The sequence below is a fragment of the Homo sapiens genome, chromosome 16 (assembly GCF_000001405.40).
Source record: "Homo sapiens chromosome 16, GRCh38.p14 Primary Assembly".
NCBI classification, from domain to species: domain Eukaryota; kingdom Metazoa; phylum Chordata; class Mammalia; order Primates; family Hominidae; genus Homo; species Homo sapiens.
In genome coordinates this window covers 78,137,979-78,157,439 of record NC_000016.10, presented here as the reverse complement: position 1 = coordinate 78,157,439, position 19,461 = coordinate 78,137,979, and the positions used below count along the sequence as shown (strand labels likewise).

General features: G+C 41.7%; 1 protein-coding gene across 4 annotated transcripts in view, besides 1 other annotated feature; it reads right to left on the bottom strand.

The window, feature by feature from the left end:
* Nucleotides 1-19,461, bottom strand: part of WWOX (WW domain containing oxidoreductase) — a 1,113,014-nt gene that overhangs the window by 1,055,228 nt on the left and 38,325 nt on the right. The gene's annotated exons all lie outside the window — the stretch shown is intronic.
* Nucleotides 18,760-18,929: an enhancer, noted in NCBI's record as "experimental_45980 CRE fragment used in MPRA reporter constructs". NCBI's record gives its function as "activates a minimal promoter by MPRAs in K562 erythroleukemia cells, with activity observed for both the introgressed and non-introgressed 16:78172493 variant alleles {active_cell/tissue: K562}" and the evidence as "EXISTENCE:reporter gene assay evidence [ECO:0000049][PMID:34662402]".

The window sequence follows — 19,461 nt, the reverse complement described above, 5'->3', positions numbered from 1 at the left end:
TTTACTCATTTTTACCTGTGATACCAATGTCACCCCTTATCACCAGTGAGCAAAAGACACCTAGATCATTTGGGGAAAATGAGAGAAGTAAAATGCCAGGTTTTGTAGCCCAGCTGGCTGGGGGCAGGCACCGAACAAAGTCTTGCTGACTGATCTGCCCCATCAATCAGGCTAATGAGATGCCAACAGCCATATGCAAGCAACACAGTGACCAAACACAACTGCATTTGGGAGCCCGGGACTTCACACACCCAGAAGATCTTGGACGGAATGGTGGACTGTGGGTCCCTTTGAAATTTCCAGGTCAAAGCAATGATCAGGAATATCTTTCTTCACAGTTTCATCACAGGGTATTAAAAGAAAAAAAAAAGATGTAAGAGAGTGGAAATGAGAGTAAACAATTCTTAGTCATTCAATAGCAGCTACGTTTTTAACAGATTGAGAAAGCATCGATATAACACAAGGCCAGGCAGGTTCCAGAACTTGATTGATTGACTGATTGACTGACTGAGACAGAGTCTCACTCTGTCACCCGGGCTGGAGTGCAGCGGTGCAATCTGCAACCTCTGCTCACTAGAACCTCCACCGCAGGGATTCAAGCGATTCTCGTGTCTCAGTCTCCCCAGCAACTGGGATTACAGGCGCGTGCCACCACACCCAGCTAATTTTTGTATTTTTAGTAGAGACGGGATTTCACCATGTTGGCCAGGCTGCTCTCGAACTCCTAACCTCAAATGACCCACCCACCTCGACCTCCCAAAGTGCTGGGATTACAGGCGTGAGCCACCACACCCAGTACAGAGCTTTATTTATCCAGTTTCTCAGGTAAGCTCCTTGAGCCTTACACCCTCCAATCTCCGTATTTCGCCAGACTAGCACCCAGTAGGATTCAATAAATATCTGCTGAAGAAACAAATGGTTCTTGCAGACTGCTAATAGGCTGCAGCTCTGGACTATTTTAAAACAATCCAGGCTGTTTCAAACTGCAACACGATGGCCCTCTTCCTTCCTTTATAATAATGAATAAATATTAAAATCCTGCAAAGATACTGCTCACTGTAGTTTTGAATGATGCTACCAAGAAATCTGTGGGGGAAAAGCACGCCGTTTTTCTATCAAATTTTATTTTCCCAAACAAACCTGTTAAGTCCTGCTATCTCACTTGACAAAATAACCCACGGCAAAGGACTTTTTATTACCAGAAAGGGCACATCTGACAAGACAGCAGCAACAGGCTACAGGCTCAAGCTTCCACCCTCTCTCCTTTAGAGAATTCCTGACTGTAGTTACGGGTAAGCCATCTGTCTCTGTGTCTTGTGAAATTACACTCTGGTTCTTACATCTTCCTTTATCTAAGCAATGCATTACCCGTTGCTAGTCTACTTTTAAAAGCTGCAATAGACAACTCCATTTTCTTACCCTTTACAATTGCCTTTGGAACAGAAACAAAGCGTGGCTATTTCAAAAGATGATAGTTTAACAGGAAGGACAATAACACTTTTATAGTAAACCATATCTCTAGAGTGTGGAGTTTTATATAAAAAAAGCTTAATAATGCTACCTACTGTTAAAGTCCTGGATAAAACCCAAGAGAATAACATCCCTCACTCTTGTAATACTGCAGCTGACGGCCAGTTTAATTAGCTAAATGTAGTAGTGCTAAGCCTATTCTGCACAGTGCCAAAGTTTGTGCAAAATAATGAAGGCAATGGTTTACTAAATTTAATAACCTGATTCATCTTATAAAAAATTAACTTTATGACAATGTTTAAATTGAACTAGCTTAACTGCATGGAGATGGCAAGAGTGTGTTCGGAAGAATATGTAAACCTAATAATACCAAGAAAATAAAGAAAGACGTTTTAAAGCAATGAACAGCATCAGTTTTTCTAGCACTTGTTACATCAGATGCAATCAGAAAAATGACGTGGCCATGGAGGCTTAATAGCTCACTGTCTTGGGTTTTAAGCTTTGAACACAAACATTCAAGTTCTATGAAATGGAAAAGGTGCAAAGTAATTTAAATACCTACTTATCTTATACTATCTTACATAGTTTTCACTCTTTAGAACAGAGGTCACAAACTGATGATCAGAGGACAAGTCAAGCCCACAGACCTGTTTTGTGTGGCCCATACTTTCTTCCCTTCCCTTCCTTCCTTCCCTTTCCCTTCCTTCCTTTTCTTTCCTTCCTTCCTCCCTCCCTTCCTCCTTCTCTCCTTTCTTTTCTCCTTTGCTCCTTCTTTCTCTCTCTCCCTTCCAACCTCTCTTCCTTCCTTCCTTCCTAATTTGAATTAGTTGCCAGCATTAAAACATTGGGGAGATCACAGGTCCAAAAGCTAGATGTGTAGCTTCTCTGAAAAAGCTTACACCACTGGGGGCCCAATCCCACGTGGTGACAGGTTAGCTGAGAAGCCACTGTCAGCTAGAGGTGGGGTTTGGGCTTTCTAGTTGGTCATGTTGACCATGATCATCACCCGTGCTGCTGGCATTACCCGCCAGGCCACTGCAGGCACTTGATGCTCAGTGCACATTATTCAGGAAACATCCTTGCTACAGACATGACTCAAGCCTTACCACAAAACACCCTCAGTCCATACGTTCACAACTCAATCACCGAATCTCAAAGAACATCTCCCACTGATCTGGTTGAGATTTTATTTAAACCATGTCAAACCCTACTATGTCAAGTGTGAGACTATTAGGATGCTAGCTATGCCTTGGAAAACCCCGCAGTAGCACTTGGCTTTGCGTGGACAGAGAAGCACAAGGGTAGCAGGCTCAGGGATCTGCAGGAGCTTGAACCCATGGTGCAAGCTCCCTTGCATTTCACAAATGTCACTGAGTGGCAGCAGAACCTCTGGGCCAAGAACTTTACTGGAAGGAGAGATAAAGACGAAACAGACAAGCAAAAAGGCAGGGTGCTTGGCAAAAAAAAAAAAAAAAAAAAAAAAAGATCAAGGATTGGGGAGCAACTCTGTGTAAATAAATCACATGAATACAACAGAGATGAAGCTCCATGAAGCAAGCGAAAACTGTGGGACTCCTCTGTAGGCAGCGGGAGCCTGTGGATTTAGGCAGGGAGTAAACACTATGAGTTATTATTCATATTATTATTTTATCCATTTACAGTACCTCCAGTGGTCACAATGGACTCGCTCAAGATACTGTGGCCTTGTGACCAGCCAGAAATGGACGAGGTGCCCTCTTATCCCGAGCAGCTCAAGGTATAAATTAGAAAATCATGTAGGAAGCAAAAAAAATCTACAAAGCCAGGGACTGCCTAAGTCTAGGTGTCCAAGGTGCCCTGTGGGCCACTGGTGAGCTTGGCAAGTTGTTTACCCAGACAGGGAACACAAAGGGAGAAATGGCTTGGGCATGGTGGTGGAGAGCATCGGAGCAGGCAGCCGCACACCATGAGACTCACTGGTAGGTTGGACAGGTGGGGACAGTCGCCCACAGAATCCTCAGGCACAAAAAACATGAAGGTGGGAACCCTGTCCCCTCAAATACTGACAAAGCTCCCACAGAGGTAGGAGCTAAGAAAAAGGCAGCTTCTTTCCCCGATGCCAGGAAGGTTCCTTCTGGTTTAAGTTTTTTAATTTTCTCCATATTGTGGATGTACTTGGGCAGTGTCCCCATTTACTGTAAATTATGGTTTTAATTATCATTTTTATTAAGACGCCCAAAGGAGTTGGGGCTTACAATACCCGTAATTTCTAATGGGTGGTTATTATTAATTTATAATTGTGAAACACTGGGGACAAATGTTACTTGTAACTGGGCACAATTAAAAGGCCACAGAGATGGTGATTTCCAGCCCCCTCCAGCCCCGCCCCACAAACATAGCACTAAAACGATCTTTAGGAACCAATCAACAAGTTGTAGAATCTTCCAGCACACATCCTCTCCCTCCCTGGAGATCTGCCATTATGCATAAAGCAAGAAGATAGGCCTAATGTCTTTCAGCTTGGGTTAGATTTGGGGACAATGCAAATGTGGGGACTGTTTTTGTATTAACAGACTACTATCTTTAAGGATGAGTTTCTCCTATATCCTCCTAAAAGTAGGAAGACCATACTTTCCAAACTAATCTGATTAATGTAAATGAAATTACAGTGACATGACATTGACGATGATCTTGAAATCCAACTCCCCCACAGGCATTTCCAGATGAAGTTCTAAGAAGTACACCACGCCTATATGCTCAATGCCACATCTGCAATGACTAGCTAATCCATACCTCTGTTTCTGTAGTTACTTTGATTACCTGAATGATCACATTTGCCTCCCAGGCCATTTCAATTACATAGTTCTGAGTTCCAAAGAGTTAGAGATCGTGCTTACTAAACACGATCCACAGCTGCCAAATCTTAAGAACTTACAAAACTACACAGGTCTCTCTAGAGAAAAATAAGTCATAGCCAGCCCTGCTTTTTAAAAGTATGTGTTATATACAGCAAGCAACAAATCCCTACAGAGCTTCCTAAATAGCCCTAATAACATAAATACATCTCAAATATATTAATCAAAAAACATACCAACTCAAGAAGTGGGAAACGGGTCAGTTCATGTGGAATATCTTTAAAATACACCAGGCGGCATCTGCATGCTTTGGGCAGTACAAGGCTGAGGCCGTAATGTTTTGTAAAGCTGTACAATAAATCCCAGTTGACTGCATGAGATCTCTCGAGAGGCAAGACTGACCCCAGGCTGGCTACTAGTGCTGCCACTGTGCTGGGTGAATAAGTTCTCATTTAACCTGCCAGTGACAGTCCTGGTTAGGAATGAGTGAGAAAAATGCCCAAAGATTACAATTAACATGGTCCTAGACAGGCACATGCAGACAGATTCTACAAGGGTAACTACATTGAGCGGCAGTCCTGTCGGTAAAGATGTGGGGCAACCAGGCAACTTCATAGATTAATGAGGGATGGGGGATAGGAAATGGCTTAACATATTTGGGGGCAGTTGGGACATAGCTATCAAATTTGAAGTGGACATGCTCTTTGACCCAGCCACAACCAGAAATTTATCCTACAAATAGACTTGCAAATATGTGGGAGGAATATTCAGTACGGCATTATCTACGACAGACTGCAATCAACCAAAATGTTTTATCAATTAGGTTATATAAATTATATTGCATGAATAGGACAAAATACTGTGTTACACCTAAAAAGAATGAGGAGAAATGATACGGAGATGCAAGGAAACATTTCCATGTTATAATTTTTTTTTTTTTTCTCTTGAGACGGAGTCTCGCTCTGTCGCCCAGGCTGGAGTGCAGTGGCGCGATCTCGGCTCACTTCAAGCTCCGCCTCCCGGGTTCACGCCACTCTCCTGCCTCAGCCTCCCGAGTAGCTGGGACTACAGGCGCCCGCCACCACACCCGGCTAATTTTTTGTATTTTTAGTAGAGACGGGGTTTCACCGTGTTAGCCAGGACGGTCTCCATCTCCTGACCTCGTGATCTGCCCGCCTCGGCCTCCCAAAGTGCTGGGATTACAGGCGTGAGCCACCGCGCCTGGCCTCCATGTTATAATATTAAGAAAAAAAGTCAAAGTACCGAACAGCGTGCACGTAAGACACAAAAGTGGTTAAACAGGTGCCAACATTGATTACTGCAGGAGAGAGTTACCGGTTGGGGGCAGGAAAACTTCTTGTGCATTTCATAATGTCGACGCTACTTCCATTTTTAACACATGCATACATGCCTGCTATAGGAAGAAACTAAAAATAACAAACCAAATGCTATCTAATTGATAATTCATGGGCCTTTATGAATTTTAATACAGAGCAATCAAGGCAAGTGAGAAAAAAAGGGAGGAGCCTATTCCTATTCCAAACAAGGTATTTCCTGAGCATCCTGATTTATACAAAGGATGCTGTAATGTCCAGGTAAGGAGGAGCACTTCAGAGTGTTACTCTTGGCTGGGTACCACGCCATGTGCTTTATGAAACACATTAACTAATTCTAAGGTATTCTCTACAGAAACCCTATAAAGTGTCATTGTCATTTCATGTAAGAGAAAAACCACTGATCCCCAATGTTAAGGAACTCACAAGATCAGAGGGCAAAAAAGGGGGAGGACCCCAATGGGCATGGTAGCCTGACTTCAAGCAGGTGTACCCCACCATCAGGCCCCCCACACTACCACAATCACCATGTGACTGTGGATTTGTGATATTGTGATATAATAAGAAATACATACTGGGTCTTCATCCAGGTTCCTGGCACAGAGCTCCTAAAATCCTTGAAATTGGCCAGGCATGGGGTCTCATGCCTGTAATCCTAGCACATTGGGAAGCTGAGGCAAGAGGATCACTTAAACCCAAGGGTTTGAGACCAGCCTGGACAACACAGTGAGATCCCATCTCTAAAAAAAAAAAAAAAATTGTGGAGCACAGTGCCATGCACCTGCAGTCCCAGTTACTCAAGAGGCTGAGGTGGGAGGATCACTTGAGCCCAGAAGTTGGAGGCTGCAGTGAGCTATGACTGCACCACTACACTCCAGCCTGGGTGGGTGACAGAGCGAGACCCTGTCTAAAAAAACAAAAACCTTTGAAATTTTCTGAGCAATGTGGGTGAGGGGAGAGTCTTTTATTATTCACAATTAGAGAGTTGTGAATAATTGATAACCCCCACATTCCCCGCCTTGGGGGAAGAGGAGGGGCTGGAGATTGACTTAATCACCAATGGCCAATGATTTAAGTAATCATGCCTAGGGTAACAAAACCTCTCTAAGAATCCTAAATGGAGAGGCACAGTGGCTCACACCTGTAATCTCAGCACTTTGGGAGGCCGAGGCAGGAGGATTGCTTGAGCTGAGGAGTTCAAGACCAGCCTGGGTGACATATTGAGACCTCGTCTCTAATAAACAAAACAAAAAAACTTAGCCAGGCATGGTGGTGTGCAACTGTAGTCCCAGCTACTCAGGAAGCTGAGGCAGGAGGATGGCTTTAGCCTGGGAGGTCCTGGCTGTAATGAGCCATGATTGCATAATTGCACCACTGCACTGCAGCCTGGGCAACAGAGCGAGACCCTATCTCAAAACAACAACAACAAAAACCTAAACGATAGGGTTTGGAGAGCTTCCAGATTGCTGAGCATGTGGTGCCTGGAGAGGGGCATGCCGGGAGGGGGTATGGAAGCTCCACATCCCCTCCGCATGCCTGGCCCTATGTACCGCTTCATCTGTACTCTTTGTAATATCCTTTATCATAAACAGGTAAACATAAGTAAATATTTCCCTGAGTTTTATGAGCCATTATAGCAAATTATCAAGCCTGAGGAGATGGTCGTGGGAACCCCAATTTGTAGCCAGTGAGTCAGAAGTGCACTTGACAATCTTGAACTTGCTACTGGCATTTGAAGTAGGGGATGATCCTGTAGGACTGAGCCCTCAACCATGGGGTCTGTGCTGACTCTGGGTCGTTAGTGTCAAAACTGAATTGTAGGACACCAAGCTGGGGTCCAGAAAATTGGAGAATTACGTAAAAGGAGGGAACACTCCACACATTTGTCATGGGAAGGGCTCTGTATGAGAGAAGAGGAAGACACAGTGTTTCCTTCCTTTAGGGTTAAGAGCACACACTAGAAGCAGCTCCTGGAGGCAGGAGAAACCAGCCTGGAATGCCCCCACCAGGCTCACACCCCACAGGGTCTTGACTGTCAGTCAAATACAAATCATGGGATTTGCCATCTATTCTCTGTGGATATTACGAGATATAGGCTTCTCATATGTGTACATGCTTGGCATGTGTATAATTTAAGCTAAACCTACTAAGCAGCTGTCCGGAAAGAGGGAGAAGTGGTCCAAATACCACCTGTTTCATCAACAGCCTACCAGTGCTCCCTTCGGTGTAATCCCATCAAGGCACAGAATTGAGGTCTCTTCAGCTACTGTATTACATAAACCTACCTGCTGTATGGAATCCATTCCCAGACAGTGATGCATTGGCAAATGTTCTTCTCTTTTACTTGATATTTCATCTTGGGGCTCAGAATTAACACTGTCCTTTGCTTTTACAAACATTTATCTGTAAGGGCTGTGAGATGGGATCACCAGTCCACAGGAATAAGTTTCTCTCTATGTTCTTCCAACATCAATAGTTTACAATTATAGACTTAATTTAACCCCACTTCTATACTTCCAACCAGTAAAAAATGATCTTTACACCATGACCGTTACAAGTTATACTCAATTTTTTTTCTTTAATTTCCAAAAGTCTTCACTGTCAAACTTTAAAGAACCAACTGTATTAACGTCCAACACAAAGGCCAGCCAGGCACAGTGGCTCAAAGTATAATCCCAGCACTTTAGGAGGCCAAGGCAGGAGGATCACTTGAGCTTAGGAATTCGAGGTTACAGTGAGCTACGATCCTGCCACTGCCCTCCAGCCTGAGTGATGGAGCAGATTCTGTCTCAAAAAAATAAAACATAAAGACCCTCTACCAATAAAAAGAAAGTAACACCGCATGAAATTTTTTGTAATCAAAATATACATGGCACTTTTTTTTTTTTTTTTTTTTTTTTTTTTGAGACGGAGTCTTGCTCTGTCGCCCAGGCTGGAGTGCAGTGGCGCAATCTCGGCTCACTGCAAGCTCCGCCTCCCAGGTTCACGCCATTCTCCTGCCTCAGCCTCCCGAGTAGCTGGGACTACAGGCGCCCGCCACCATGCCCAGCTAATTTTGTGTTATTTTTAGTAGAGACGGGGTTTCACCGTGTTAGCCAGGATGGTCTCGATCTCCTGACCTCGTGATCTACCCACCCTGGTCTCCCAAAGTGCTGGGATTACAGGCGTGAGCCACTCTGCCCAGCCAACATGGCACTTTTATAAACTTGTCTGAGAACCTTAGGAAGAAAAATAAAACAGCACAAAATAAAACATAAAAAATTTAGGCCTCCTGTTAAAAAAAAAAATGTAATGGAGCTTTTTAGAGGCAGAGACCTCTGTGTCTTTTAAAGGTTCTCAAGAAGACACAGCTCTTTTGCTCCCTTTCTTCTTAATACAAGAAAGTAACAATTGCTCCATAATTCCACCCCCTACACGTGCTGTCTGGCCCAAGTTCATGTTCTTCAGAGGGCAATCCTTTTGTTAACTAACCAATGACACACACAGGCATGCGCACACACGTGCACACACACACCCATGGTCTCACTTCGTATAATTCTGTACTCACACTCCTATCTACTAAGACAACCAAAGTGTTTCTGGTTGTTTAGAAGTAGAAAGATTTATCCTGAAGTTTGGCCTTTTTTATTTTGATGAATTAATTTATAGCCACTTCAAGAGAAGAAGGGAACCCAACTCTGAATTTGTAAGCACACTATATTCTATTACTGAACGTGTCTCATTGTTTTCACAGCTGGTACAGGATTTCCTTTCACCATTGAGGCCTCCGTTACTCTTTCTCGTCTGCTCGAGACAGGGTTCTTTATGATTTAGAGCAAGCAGGCCAGCCACCAGGATTCTACACGCACACACTCATCCAAAGAGACCCCGTTCCTTGACTTTCTTAATGACCAAAAGGGCTGTGATCCCTCTTGGCAACATAGTTTCCACCCCTGTCAATTAAGAAATGCTTAGGAGGGAATTGTTTAAAAAAGAAAAATTAAGAAAAAAAAAAAAAGACCTTCATTCCATTGCCAGCTCTCAGAAATGAAAAAGCCAGCCCCATCCTGCACTGTCCATGTGGACAATGTGCTACCTTTCTAATTCAAGCACCTTTTTTTTTTTTAAAAAAAAAAAAAAAAAAAAAGGAAGAAAGAAAAAGAAAAATTCAGATTGACCTTGGCTCTCACCATTAAAAAAGCGAAAAGTGGTATATTACTTTGCCTCTTGAAAAGACTAAAGTCTTTATGCTACCAAAGTCACGTGGAAGTGCTCAAAACACAATGTTGGGAAAATTCAGCAGTTTTTTGAGGCTCACTTTTAAAGTGTCCAAATTGACTTTTCATTCTCCATCGCTAGTAACTTTTTAAGACGCAACTTTTCAAAAATATGACTTAAATTCAGGCTTCGAAGCTACATCAACGGCCAGAGTTCCATTAACTCTGTGCTCTGTGGGCTCACCATCACCTTGCCTAAAATCAATGACTCCTCCAACTCCAAACCGGACATTTATTGTGATTGGTTAGGAAGTGGTACTCAAACATACAAAAAAGAGGCAAAATGTAAAAAACTTTAAAGCAAATTGAGTTTAATAGAAAAACACTAAATTAAAGGATAATCCTTACCTTGTAGTTGCTTTTTTAAAAGTATCTCTGATAATCAAAAAAAAAAGTATCTCTGATAATCTATGTAACCAGATCACTATCTTAGATATCTTTAAGATAATTACTTTTTAAAGTTTTGTAAAATCTAACAGTGGCTTGTGTGTGTTTGTTACTATTGTTGTTTTGGTCTTTAAAAAAATAATGCTGACACCATCTCAATTCACACTGATAACATTTAAAGCAAGCCCTAAGTTTCTGCTTCTGTGAGTTTTCTTGCAGTGGTCAAATATCCACAACAGTCCCGCGTGGAAGGCACGGGCAATGCTAGCTTTAAAACAAGGAAGTAAATTATACTCTTTACCTCACTTCTTTCACATGCCAGGATGCACGGAACAAAACACACCGAATCATTGCGAGTTTGACCTTTTTGGTTATAACATATTCAGTGATTACAGCACCCAGGTTCCCACAGGGCATACAATTGGTAAAAGAAATTCTCCATCACTTTTTACGCTATCTGAGAAGCCATCTGAGCTTGAATAAAATCAGACACTCAGAAGGGAGAGCTGGGAAGGAGTTCTTCATTTGATAACATTTTGTTTGGGGATACCATGATGAGGGACGGGTGAAATACACCAATTTTGAAATCTATACCTCTCAGGAAACGTGTAATCTAACCATCAGCTGTGATCAGGCACCTGCTTGTGTGAATGTGAGGGATGCACGGAGGAGCTTCCAGCTGAGGCTGATTTTACATGACTTCTGGAGACTCGACAGCTATAAATTTTTGTTTCATTCCCCTCACCCCGCTGCTGCTTCTGGGCCAAAAAGAGGGTCTTGGTAGGATCCCCAACATAGGTAATGTGAACATTGTGACTAGGATCAATTTAAATTCAAAAAAGAGAAACAGAGAGAGAAAGAGCTCTGAGTTGGTGAAGGCTTTGGAACCCTAACAGAGGATTCCAACCTGCACGGCTTGCCAGGCAGAGGGTCTTGTCAGCAGCGGGAGCCTAAGCACTTGGGAGGCAAGTACTCCCCAAAAGATCCCAACAGAGATTCTCCTTCCTAGAGTAAACAGCTTATGGAAGCATGCGCAACTAGAATTGTTATCTGGCTCAAAGCTGCCCCTAAGCACACACCATTTTAGCAAACACCATTTTAAAGTCCTTATCAGGGCAAGGGGGACTTGATTTTCTTCAGTGCTTTGAGACAGATAGGGAAAAGGAGATAAAATCAACATGAAACCAAACAATTTCTTGGAAGAGAAACAGATCAGGAATCTTACGATTCTCACGAGCTGAACTGCTCCCCTGCCATCCCAAACTCATACACTGAAGCCCTAACCCCCAACATGACTGCATCTGGAGATGGGGCCTTTATGGTCATAATTAAGGATAAATGAGGTCATAATGGGGGAGCCCTAATCCAATAGGACTGGTGTCCTTATGAAAAGGGGAAATCTGGACACAGCACACGGTGAGGAGACTATGTGAACACGAAGAAGCCTACTGAGATGGTTAATATTGAGTGTCAATGTGATTGGATTGAAGGATGCAAGGTGCTGTTCCTGGGTGTGTCTGTGCGGGTGTTTCCAAAGGAGGTTAACATTTAAGTCAGCGGATGAAGAGAGACAGACCCACCCTCAATTTGGGTTGGTACCATCTAATCAGCTGCCAGCGAGCCAAGAGAAAAGCAGGCAGGAGAAGATGGAACAACACACTTGCTGAGTCTTCCGGCCTTTATCTTTCTCCCATGCTGGATCCTTCCTGCCCTGGAACATCGGACTCCAAGTTCTTCAGCTTTTGGACTCTTGGACTTACACCAGTGGTTTGCCAGGGGCTCTTGGGGCCTTTGACCACAGCCTGAAGGCTACACTATCGGCTTCTCTATTTTTGAGGTTTGAGGACTCAAACTGGCTTCCTTGTCCCTCAGCTTGTGATTGTGGGAGTCAATACTCCTTAATAAACTCCCCTTCATAAATATTAATGCACCTATCCTATTCTGCCCCTCTAGAGAACCCTAATACACTCATCTACAAGCCAAGGAGAGAGGCCTGTAACAGGTATCTCCTCCCAGTCCTCAGAAGGAACCAACCCTGCCAACACCTTGACTTCAACCTTCTGGCCTACAGAACTATGAGACAATAAATTTTGTTGTTTAAGCTACCCAATTTGTGGTGCTTTGTTACAGCAGCTCTAGCAAACTAATAGACTTAACTTCTGTGAACCTCAATTTCCTCATCTGTGAAAGGGGAATAATAAGATGTACTCTTAAGAGCTGTTAGGAAAATTGAATAAAATAACTGCAGAGCTCTTGGCAAGCAGCAAATTCTTATTAAAAGAATTATTTCAAATTTTAATTATTAAAAGAATTATCTTTGCCATTAAAAGTAACGGCAGGCCAGGCACGGTGGCTCACGCCTGTAATCCCAGCACTTTGGTAGGCCAAGGTGGGCGGATTTCTTGAGGTCAGGAGTTTGAGACTGGCCTGGCCAATACAGCAAAACCCCACCTCTACTAAAAATACAAAAATCAGCCGGGCATGGTAGCGTGCACCTGTAATCCCAGCTATTGGGAGGCTGAGGCAGGAGAATTGCTTGAACCTGGGAGGCAGAGGTTGCAGTGAGCTCAGATCGCGCCACTGTACTCCAGCCTGGGCGACAGAGTAAAACTCCATCTCCAAAAAAAAAAAAAAATATATATATATATATATATATATGTGTGTGTGTGTGTATATATATATATATATATGTGTGTATATATATATATGTGTATATATATATATATATAGTAATGGCAAAAACCACGTTTGCACCACCCTAATAAAACATCAGGCTATCAGGCTATCCAGCTTATTAATTATTGCTACATTAGCTAAAAGGCTCTCCATGTGAGCTGTATCTCAGATTCTCCCATGGAAACCTAAAAATTTGTACTGAAGACTAAATAGAATAAATGAATCTTAACTTCTCCAGCTGTGCTATTCAACTATTAATCATTAGTGCCCCAGCCACTACCGAAAACTATTTAAAACAGCTTGTAATAGACAATTGCATACAACCCAGGGTTTTAAAATAACGCAATAATCAGTAGTAAGACTGACAAATTGCCTGAGCCAAGGGGCAGGTGGAAAATTTCTTACAGATGTGAATATTCTATTATCTTGACTGGGGTGGTGGTTTATGTGTGTGTACACACTTGTCAAGACCTTCATGTGTATGATTTAAATGTATGGGTTTTACAACATGTAAATTATGCTTCAAAAAGTTGATTTTTTTTTAAAGTGAAAATGTATCCCCGTGTTAAGAAAAAGAAAGCTGATCCGAAACGTGAAGTGAGCTGGTTACTTAAACATTTTAATGTTTAAAGTTCTGAGCTTCCTGGCAACCAAGGTAAGGAAACGAAATATAATACTTTATAATGTCCTCCTCATTAAACAACCACCACCAAAAAAAAAAAAAAAAAAACATACCAATTCTTTTAGAGGAATGAGCTTTGTTTTCTTAATAATTCTGAAAACTTATTAGAGGAATCCTTATATAGGAAACATGTTAACAGAATAAACCAGGGGTTGCCAAACTTTTTCTGTAAAGGGCAAGAGAATAAACATAAATACAGTAAATAAATGCAGTAAATATCTTGGGCTTTGCTGGCCATAGGGTCTCACAGCTACTCAATTCTGCTGTTATGATGTGAAAGCAGCCATGGGCGATATGTAAACGATGAGCACCCGTGTTCCAATAAAACCTGATTTACAAAAGTGGGCCTCGGGGGGCTGGATTTGGTCCACGTGCCACAATCTGACCCTTCGAATAGACAATATCCTTTTAACATTCGGTTCTAAACTGACCTGAAGCAAAACAAGAACTAAAGACGTGAAGATGACCTTGATCTGTAGATTTTCACTGCAAGAAAATGTGAATAATTATAACAGCAAGTTCAGAACCCATGTGGATGACAACCACAGAAAATTTAATTTTAGACAATTTACAAGTTTCTATGAAAGCAGATATAAAGAGAATCTCATTAAAACAAATATAAAACAAATTTTCTAAGTATTCAATATGCATCAAAATCTTATTACACAGTTTGTTTCACCCAGAATTTCATTCAGTGTGCTATAGCTACATTGGCTTTTCATTGCAAAGCTGGATGTTTAACTATAAACTACATCCTGCCTCTCCTTTTGTGTGTAAAACTGACAAATGTGTTGTTTTTGGATTCTAGAATTCTGGAGAAAGCCAACTTAAATGAATTAAGATGACTAATATGTTGATTCTGTTTCCAGTCCAACAAAATGTGAATGTAAGACTCCATGTCATATGATGCTATGTGTTTTAGTTCAAATTTAACATCGAATATTGAATAAGGCAGTTTCTAAGTAAATTACTAAGCTAAAAATATTCCTTCAACATAGCAAAAACTCTATCTTGTTTAAATAAGTGGAAATTTGAACATCTTTGCTCAGATCAGCCTAAATAAGAAATTAGAAAAACTGTAAACCTCCATTACAGTCAAGAGCATTGATTCCATCTTTCTGTGGAAAGTAGCACAATATTGTATATCAAGGAAAACGATTTATTTATTTAAAGTTATTCACCCACAATCATGATTTCACACAAAGTTCTTCCTAAATACAACACTTGCACAAGACGATGCTTTTCTGGCATACTTGAGGAATCACATCCAAGGTGAATGACCACTAAGATACCACAAATATAACTGTGAGAATGACAAGTGTTTTTGAACACCCAGCTACTAGGGAGTATCTAGCATTTCTAGTTCTTTTGCAGCTTGATAATGTTTTTACAAATGTTTTCATTGCATTAACTTAACATTTGGCTGAGGAGTTCCTGTGGCTATAACACACTGCTACACAGTTTTGTTTTAAGTAAACCAACATTAGTTTTTCATTACATAATAGGTGGGTAATTTCTATTTCCACAGAGGCAGTAACTATTTTGCTTTTTAAAAAGCTGTTGAAAGTGTTGCAAAGCCTCAACTCAATTCCATAAATATTGACCATGTTGCTTCCATAAATAAGACTCTTAGATGTTCACCTAATTCTAATAACAAATATTTCTAGTTTTCTTAAACTAATTATATTTATTGACTACCAAAGGAAGCATTTTAATAATTACCTTCATTGTGAAAATCAAATCTGTTATGAGATAATAAAATGAAGGAAATCAGTTAGGGAGCACCATCTTTAAAAAAAAAAAAAAAGAAATTTAAAATTTTATAAGGAAGAATTTAGAAATCCAGGGTCTAGAAATGGAAACTACATAGAATATATGTATTTTGCCCCTAGCTCTTAGATTCAACTATGACAGGCTGTCAGTAACTGAATTTTTTTTCCATTACCTGCCAGTTATTTAGGAAATTTCCATTGTTTAGCACCGTATAATTCTGAAATCAATACTACTTTATTAATTACACACTGATAAATTTCTATCCAAAAAAAACCATTACAATGAAAAAGTAACAAATATTTCTATGCATATTTTTATTCCTAATCCTATTCAATGAATTTTTATGAATAAACACACTCTCTAAAGCAAGTATGTGTATTTAATGGAAGTATGTCTACGTAACTGCTACTAATGATTACAATTCCCATAAAGTGTAGGGATTTCTTAATTCAGTGTCTATGAACAATCCTTTCCTCCCCTACAAAATTGTACACAAATGCCTGGCTAGGAATACATTTATTTTTCCCTTGTAGAATGGGCCAGAGGTTCCACTATATTCTCAAAGGAGTACAGGATGCAAAAAAAAAAAAAAAAAAAGAAGGGGGATGGTGGGGTTGACATCCAGTGGTCTAGAATCTTTTTATTTAAGCAGAGACCTGTGAAAACACTATTTGTTCCCTTTAAAGATAAACAGAAGTGTTGTATACTTGACAAAACAGACAGAGGCCCAGAACCTGTCCATTTGTACAATCATACCATCTCCGCAGTGGAAATGGACTTTAACCATCACAAACCCAAAGCCCTGCTCGGCATTTAAATTGCCTCTGCAACATCCTCACTAAGCAGCCACCAAGCTATGCTTAAACACCTTTGCAATTCGAACTCACTTGCTCAAGGCAGCTTGCTCTGTGATCCAAAAGCAGGCAATCCCCCCTTGGTTCCTAATGTCTGATGATAACGAGGCAAAAGAACAATTACTTCTGAAAATCATGCTCCATAAGAAAGTAAGCTGCACGTAGGCAGGAGCACTTTGTTCACTGCTGTAATCACCAGGTCCTAGAGCAGAGCTGAGTTACATACTAGACCCTCAGGAAATACCTATTTCTTTCGAATGACTTGTTGAATGATTGCTATGCATCTGGATAGCATCAATGATAAAAAGCAACATCTCTTTTATAGCACAGTTGCTATTGGTCTAATTGTGTCCCCCCAAAAAGATATGTTGAAGTCCTAAGCCCAGTACCTCAGAATGTCACCTTACTTGGAAACAGGGCCTTTGCAGAGGTCATCGAGTTAAACTGAGGGCATTAAGGTGGGCTCTCACCCAGTAAAACTGTCACCCTTAGAAGAAGAGGAGATCAGAAAACAGAGACAAACAGTAATAGAGGGAAGATGATGTGAAAAGATACAGGGAGAATGGCTTGTGCAGATGGAGGCAGAGACTGGAATTACCCTGCCACAGGCCAATGAACATCTAGGGCTACCAGAAGCTGAAAGAGGCAAGGAAGGGTCCTTCCCTACACATTTTAAAGGGAGTATGGCCCTACCAACACCTTGATTTCAGACTTCTAGCCTCTAGAACTTGGAAACAATAAATTTCTGTTGTCCCAAGCCACCCAGTTTATGGTACTTTGCTACAGCAGCCCCAGAAAACTAATACCACAGCAGAAAAGGCTAAAGCCCCAGAATTCATCAAACTGGGACTCATTTATAGTCCCATCAGAGAGCCTTTTAACTTTAAGGATACACTGTGGTAGATTCTGCTTACTCTTAAGAGACCTGAGCATGGTGCAGGGGGTGGACTGTATCGGGCACCTCTCATGCACCCCTTCAAATTCTCACAGCTCCATTTTACTCAAACCATTTTTACGCTCACCATGCAGTTTTCAACCAACTTGACACAAATGCAACCAGATGGCCTCACCTGGGGCTACAATATGGATCCCCCCATTTCCATCCTAGAGATTCTCTGACTCTGCAGCATGGGATGCCTACAAGAACCTGCTTGGCACTTGCACATGTGCAAACCCAAAATTCTGGGACATCAAAACTTATGGGACGCCCTTGTCCAACGGGGTCAGAAGCCGGTGGATAAATGCCCTTTATTCCGCAGGCAGACAGCTATGAGATGCATTTCCTAAAGTGCCTGGAGTTGAGCACTAGTTGCCTCTAGTAATGACTAACTAAAAAACACATTTTTATATTGCCTCTCCTTCCTTCCTGAATTCCCCATCCCTCTCTTTGTAATCACATCCCAAATTATGCATAAATATGTCTTTTTCTCTGGTTCTGTTTTTGGAGGAACCTAAGGTAAGACAAAGAACTCTTAAAACATTTTCAATACAGAAAACTTACTCTCTACTTTTATTTATTTATGTATTTAGAGACAGAGTCTCACTCTATCGCCTGGGCTGGAGTGCAGTGGCGCAATCTCAGCTCGCTGCAACCTCCGCCTCCTGGGTTCAAGCAATTCTCCTGCCTCAGCCTCCCGAGTAGCTGGGATTATAGGCGCCTGCCAGTACGCCCAACTAATTTTTTGTATTTTTAGTAGAGAAGGGGTTTCACCATGTTGGCCAGGCTGGTCTTGAACCCTTGACCTCATGATTCACCTGCCTTGGCCTCCCAAAGTACTGGGATTACAGGCATGAGCCAACAGTGCCAGACCTACTGTCTGCTTTTTATACAATGTGAATCATTAGAAAAGCAACACCCTCTCGCCAACCCCACCCCCGACAATTCTAATCAGTTAAATGCTGCCTCCTTGCAGATTTTGTCCATTGGTCCTGGTTCTGTCCCTTGAAGAAAGCTAGGATTATCTCTCTCCTAGATAGCTACTGAGAGAACTAATTTACATAAATCTTTTCTTCTACCAACTAACCAGCCATTCACTCTTCCTTTAAGGGTTGCTCCTAGGACATGACCCAATGACTTTGCCATCCTTTAGCCTGTCTATGCGCCACCCCTAAATGAACGTAATATTCTAGATACGGTCTGATTGGTGGGACTGTGTACCTTTCTTTACAACAAACCATGAAGGTTTCAACCACCCAGAGGTATAAACGGGTTGTCTGCATCAGAGGCCTCGTTGCAAATGTTAGGAGTTGCAAGAAACAGTTGCATGGGGGGAACATCTTTGAGCAGCTGTAGGTAATAGAGATGCCAAATGATGATTGCAATTCAGAAGCCCCATTTTGAGCACTTGCTCCCCACTCACATCCGTGGAGTGGCGCATTAAGCACTTCGCTGGGACTCTCCCGCAGCGTGCTGCACGTGGTTCTTGAAAGCTTGATTACGGTCTACAGCAGTTGGGTGATTGCTACTGAAGGCAGGCAGATGCCTGGTGACTTCTCAGGGTGGGCTGTCCCCAGTGTGTTTTATGACCATGCAGAAAGGAAAAATAAGGAATTTAAAAAATCTTCTTTCAAAAGATATGGATTCTTATCGGACTTTCATTCCTTAGTAAAGTTGCATTAAACCCAGAGACATTTATTCTTTAATTTTCCCTATTCTCTCATATGGAAGGTAGGAAGAATTTGCACTCAGGCCCCACTGAAAGATAAGTGCCAGATTCACTCCTGTCCTCCTTTCCCTTTTGGTTTTCACATCCTTATTCTGAGCTAACCACATCACGAGCACATCTTTACTGCTCAACTGAGTTCTCCTGAAGCATTATAAAAAACAAATCAGTTACATGTTTTAAATATCCGTTGGCAAGCATCATAGCATGGCTCTTAATCTGAGAAATAATTTTAATTAAACTAAAAAGAGGTAAGTCATTGAACACACAATAATTAAACAGCAGACTGTGCTGTCAGCAAAACTGGGCTGGCTCTTGCAGGATTATCAGAGGGACTGGCGTTGTCATGTGATGTTTTGTGACTCTTCTACAGTCCTACCATCAGCTCTCGTGAAGAGGATGCAGCGAGCCATTTAGACAGTTGGCCAAGAACAGTCTGCTAGACAACTTTCCTCATTGCATCCATTATAGAAGCTGATCAGAAGAATTCTCATTTTCCTTGAGCGAGGTTCTGTTTCCTTTGAACAATGGT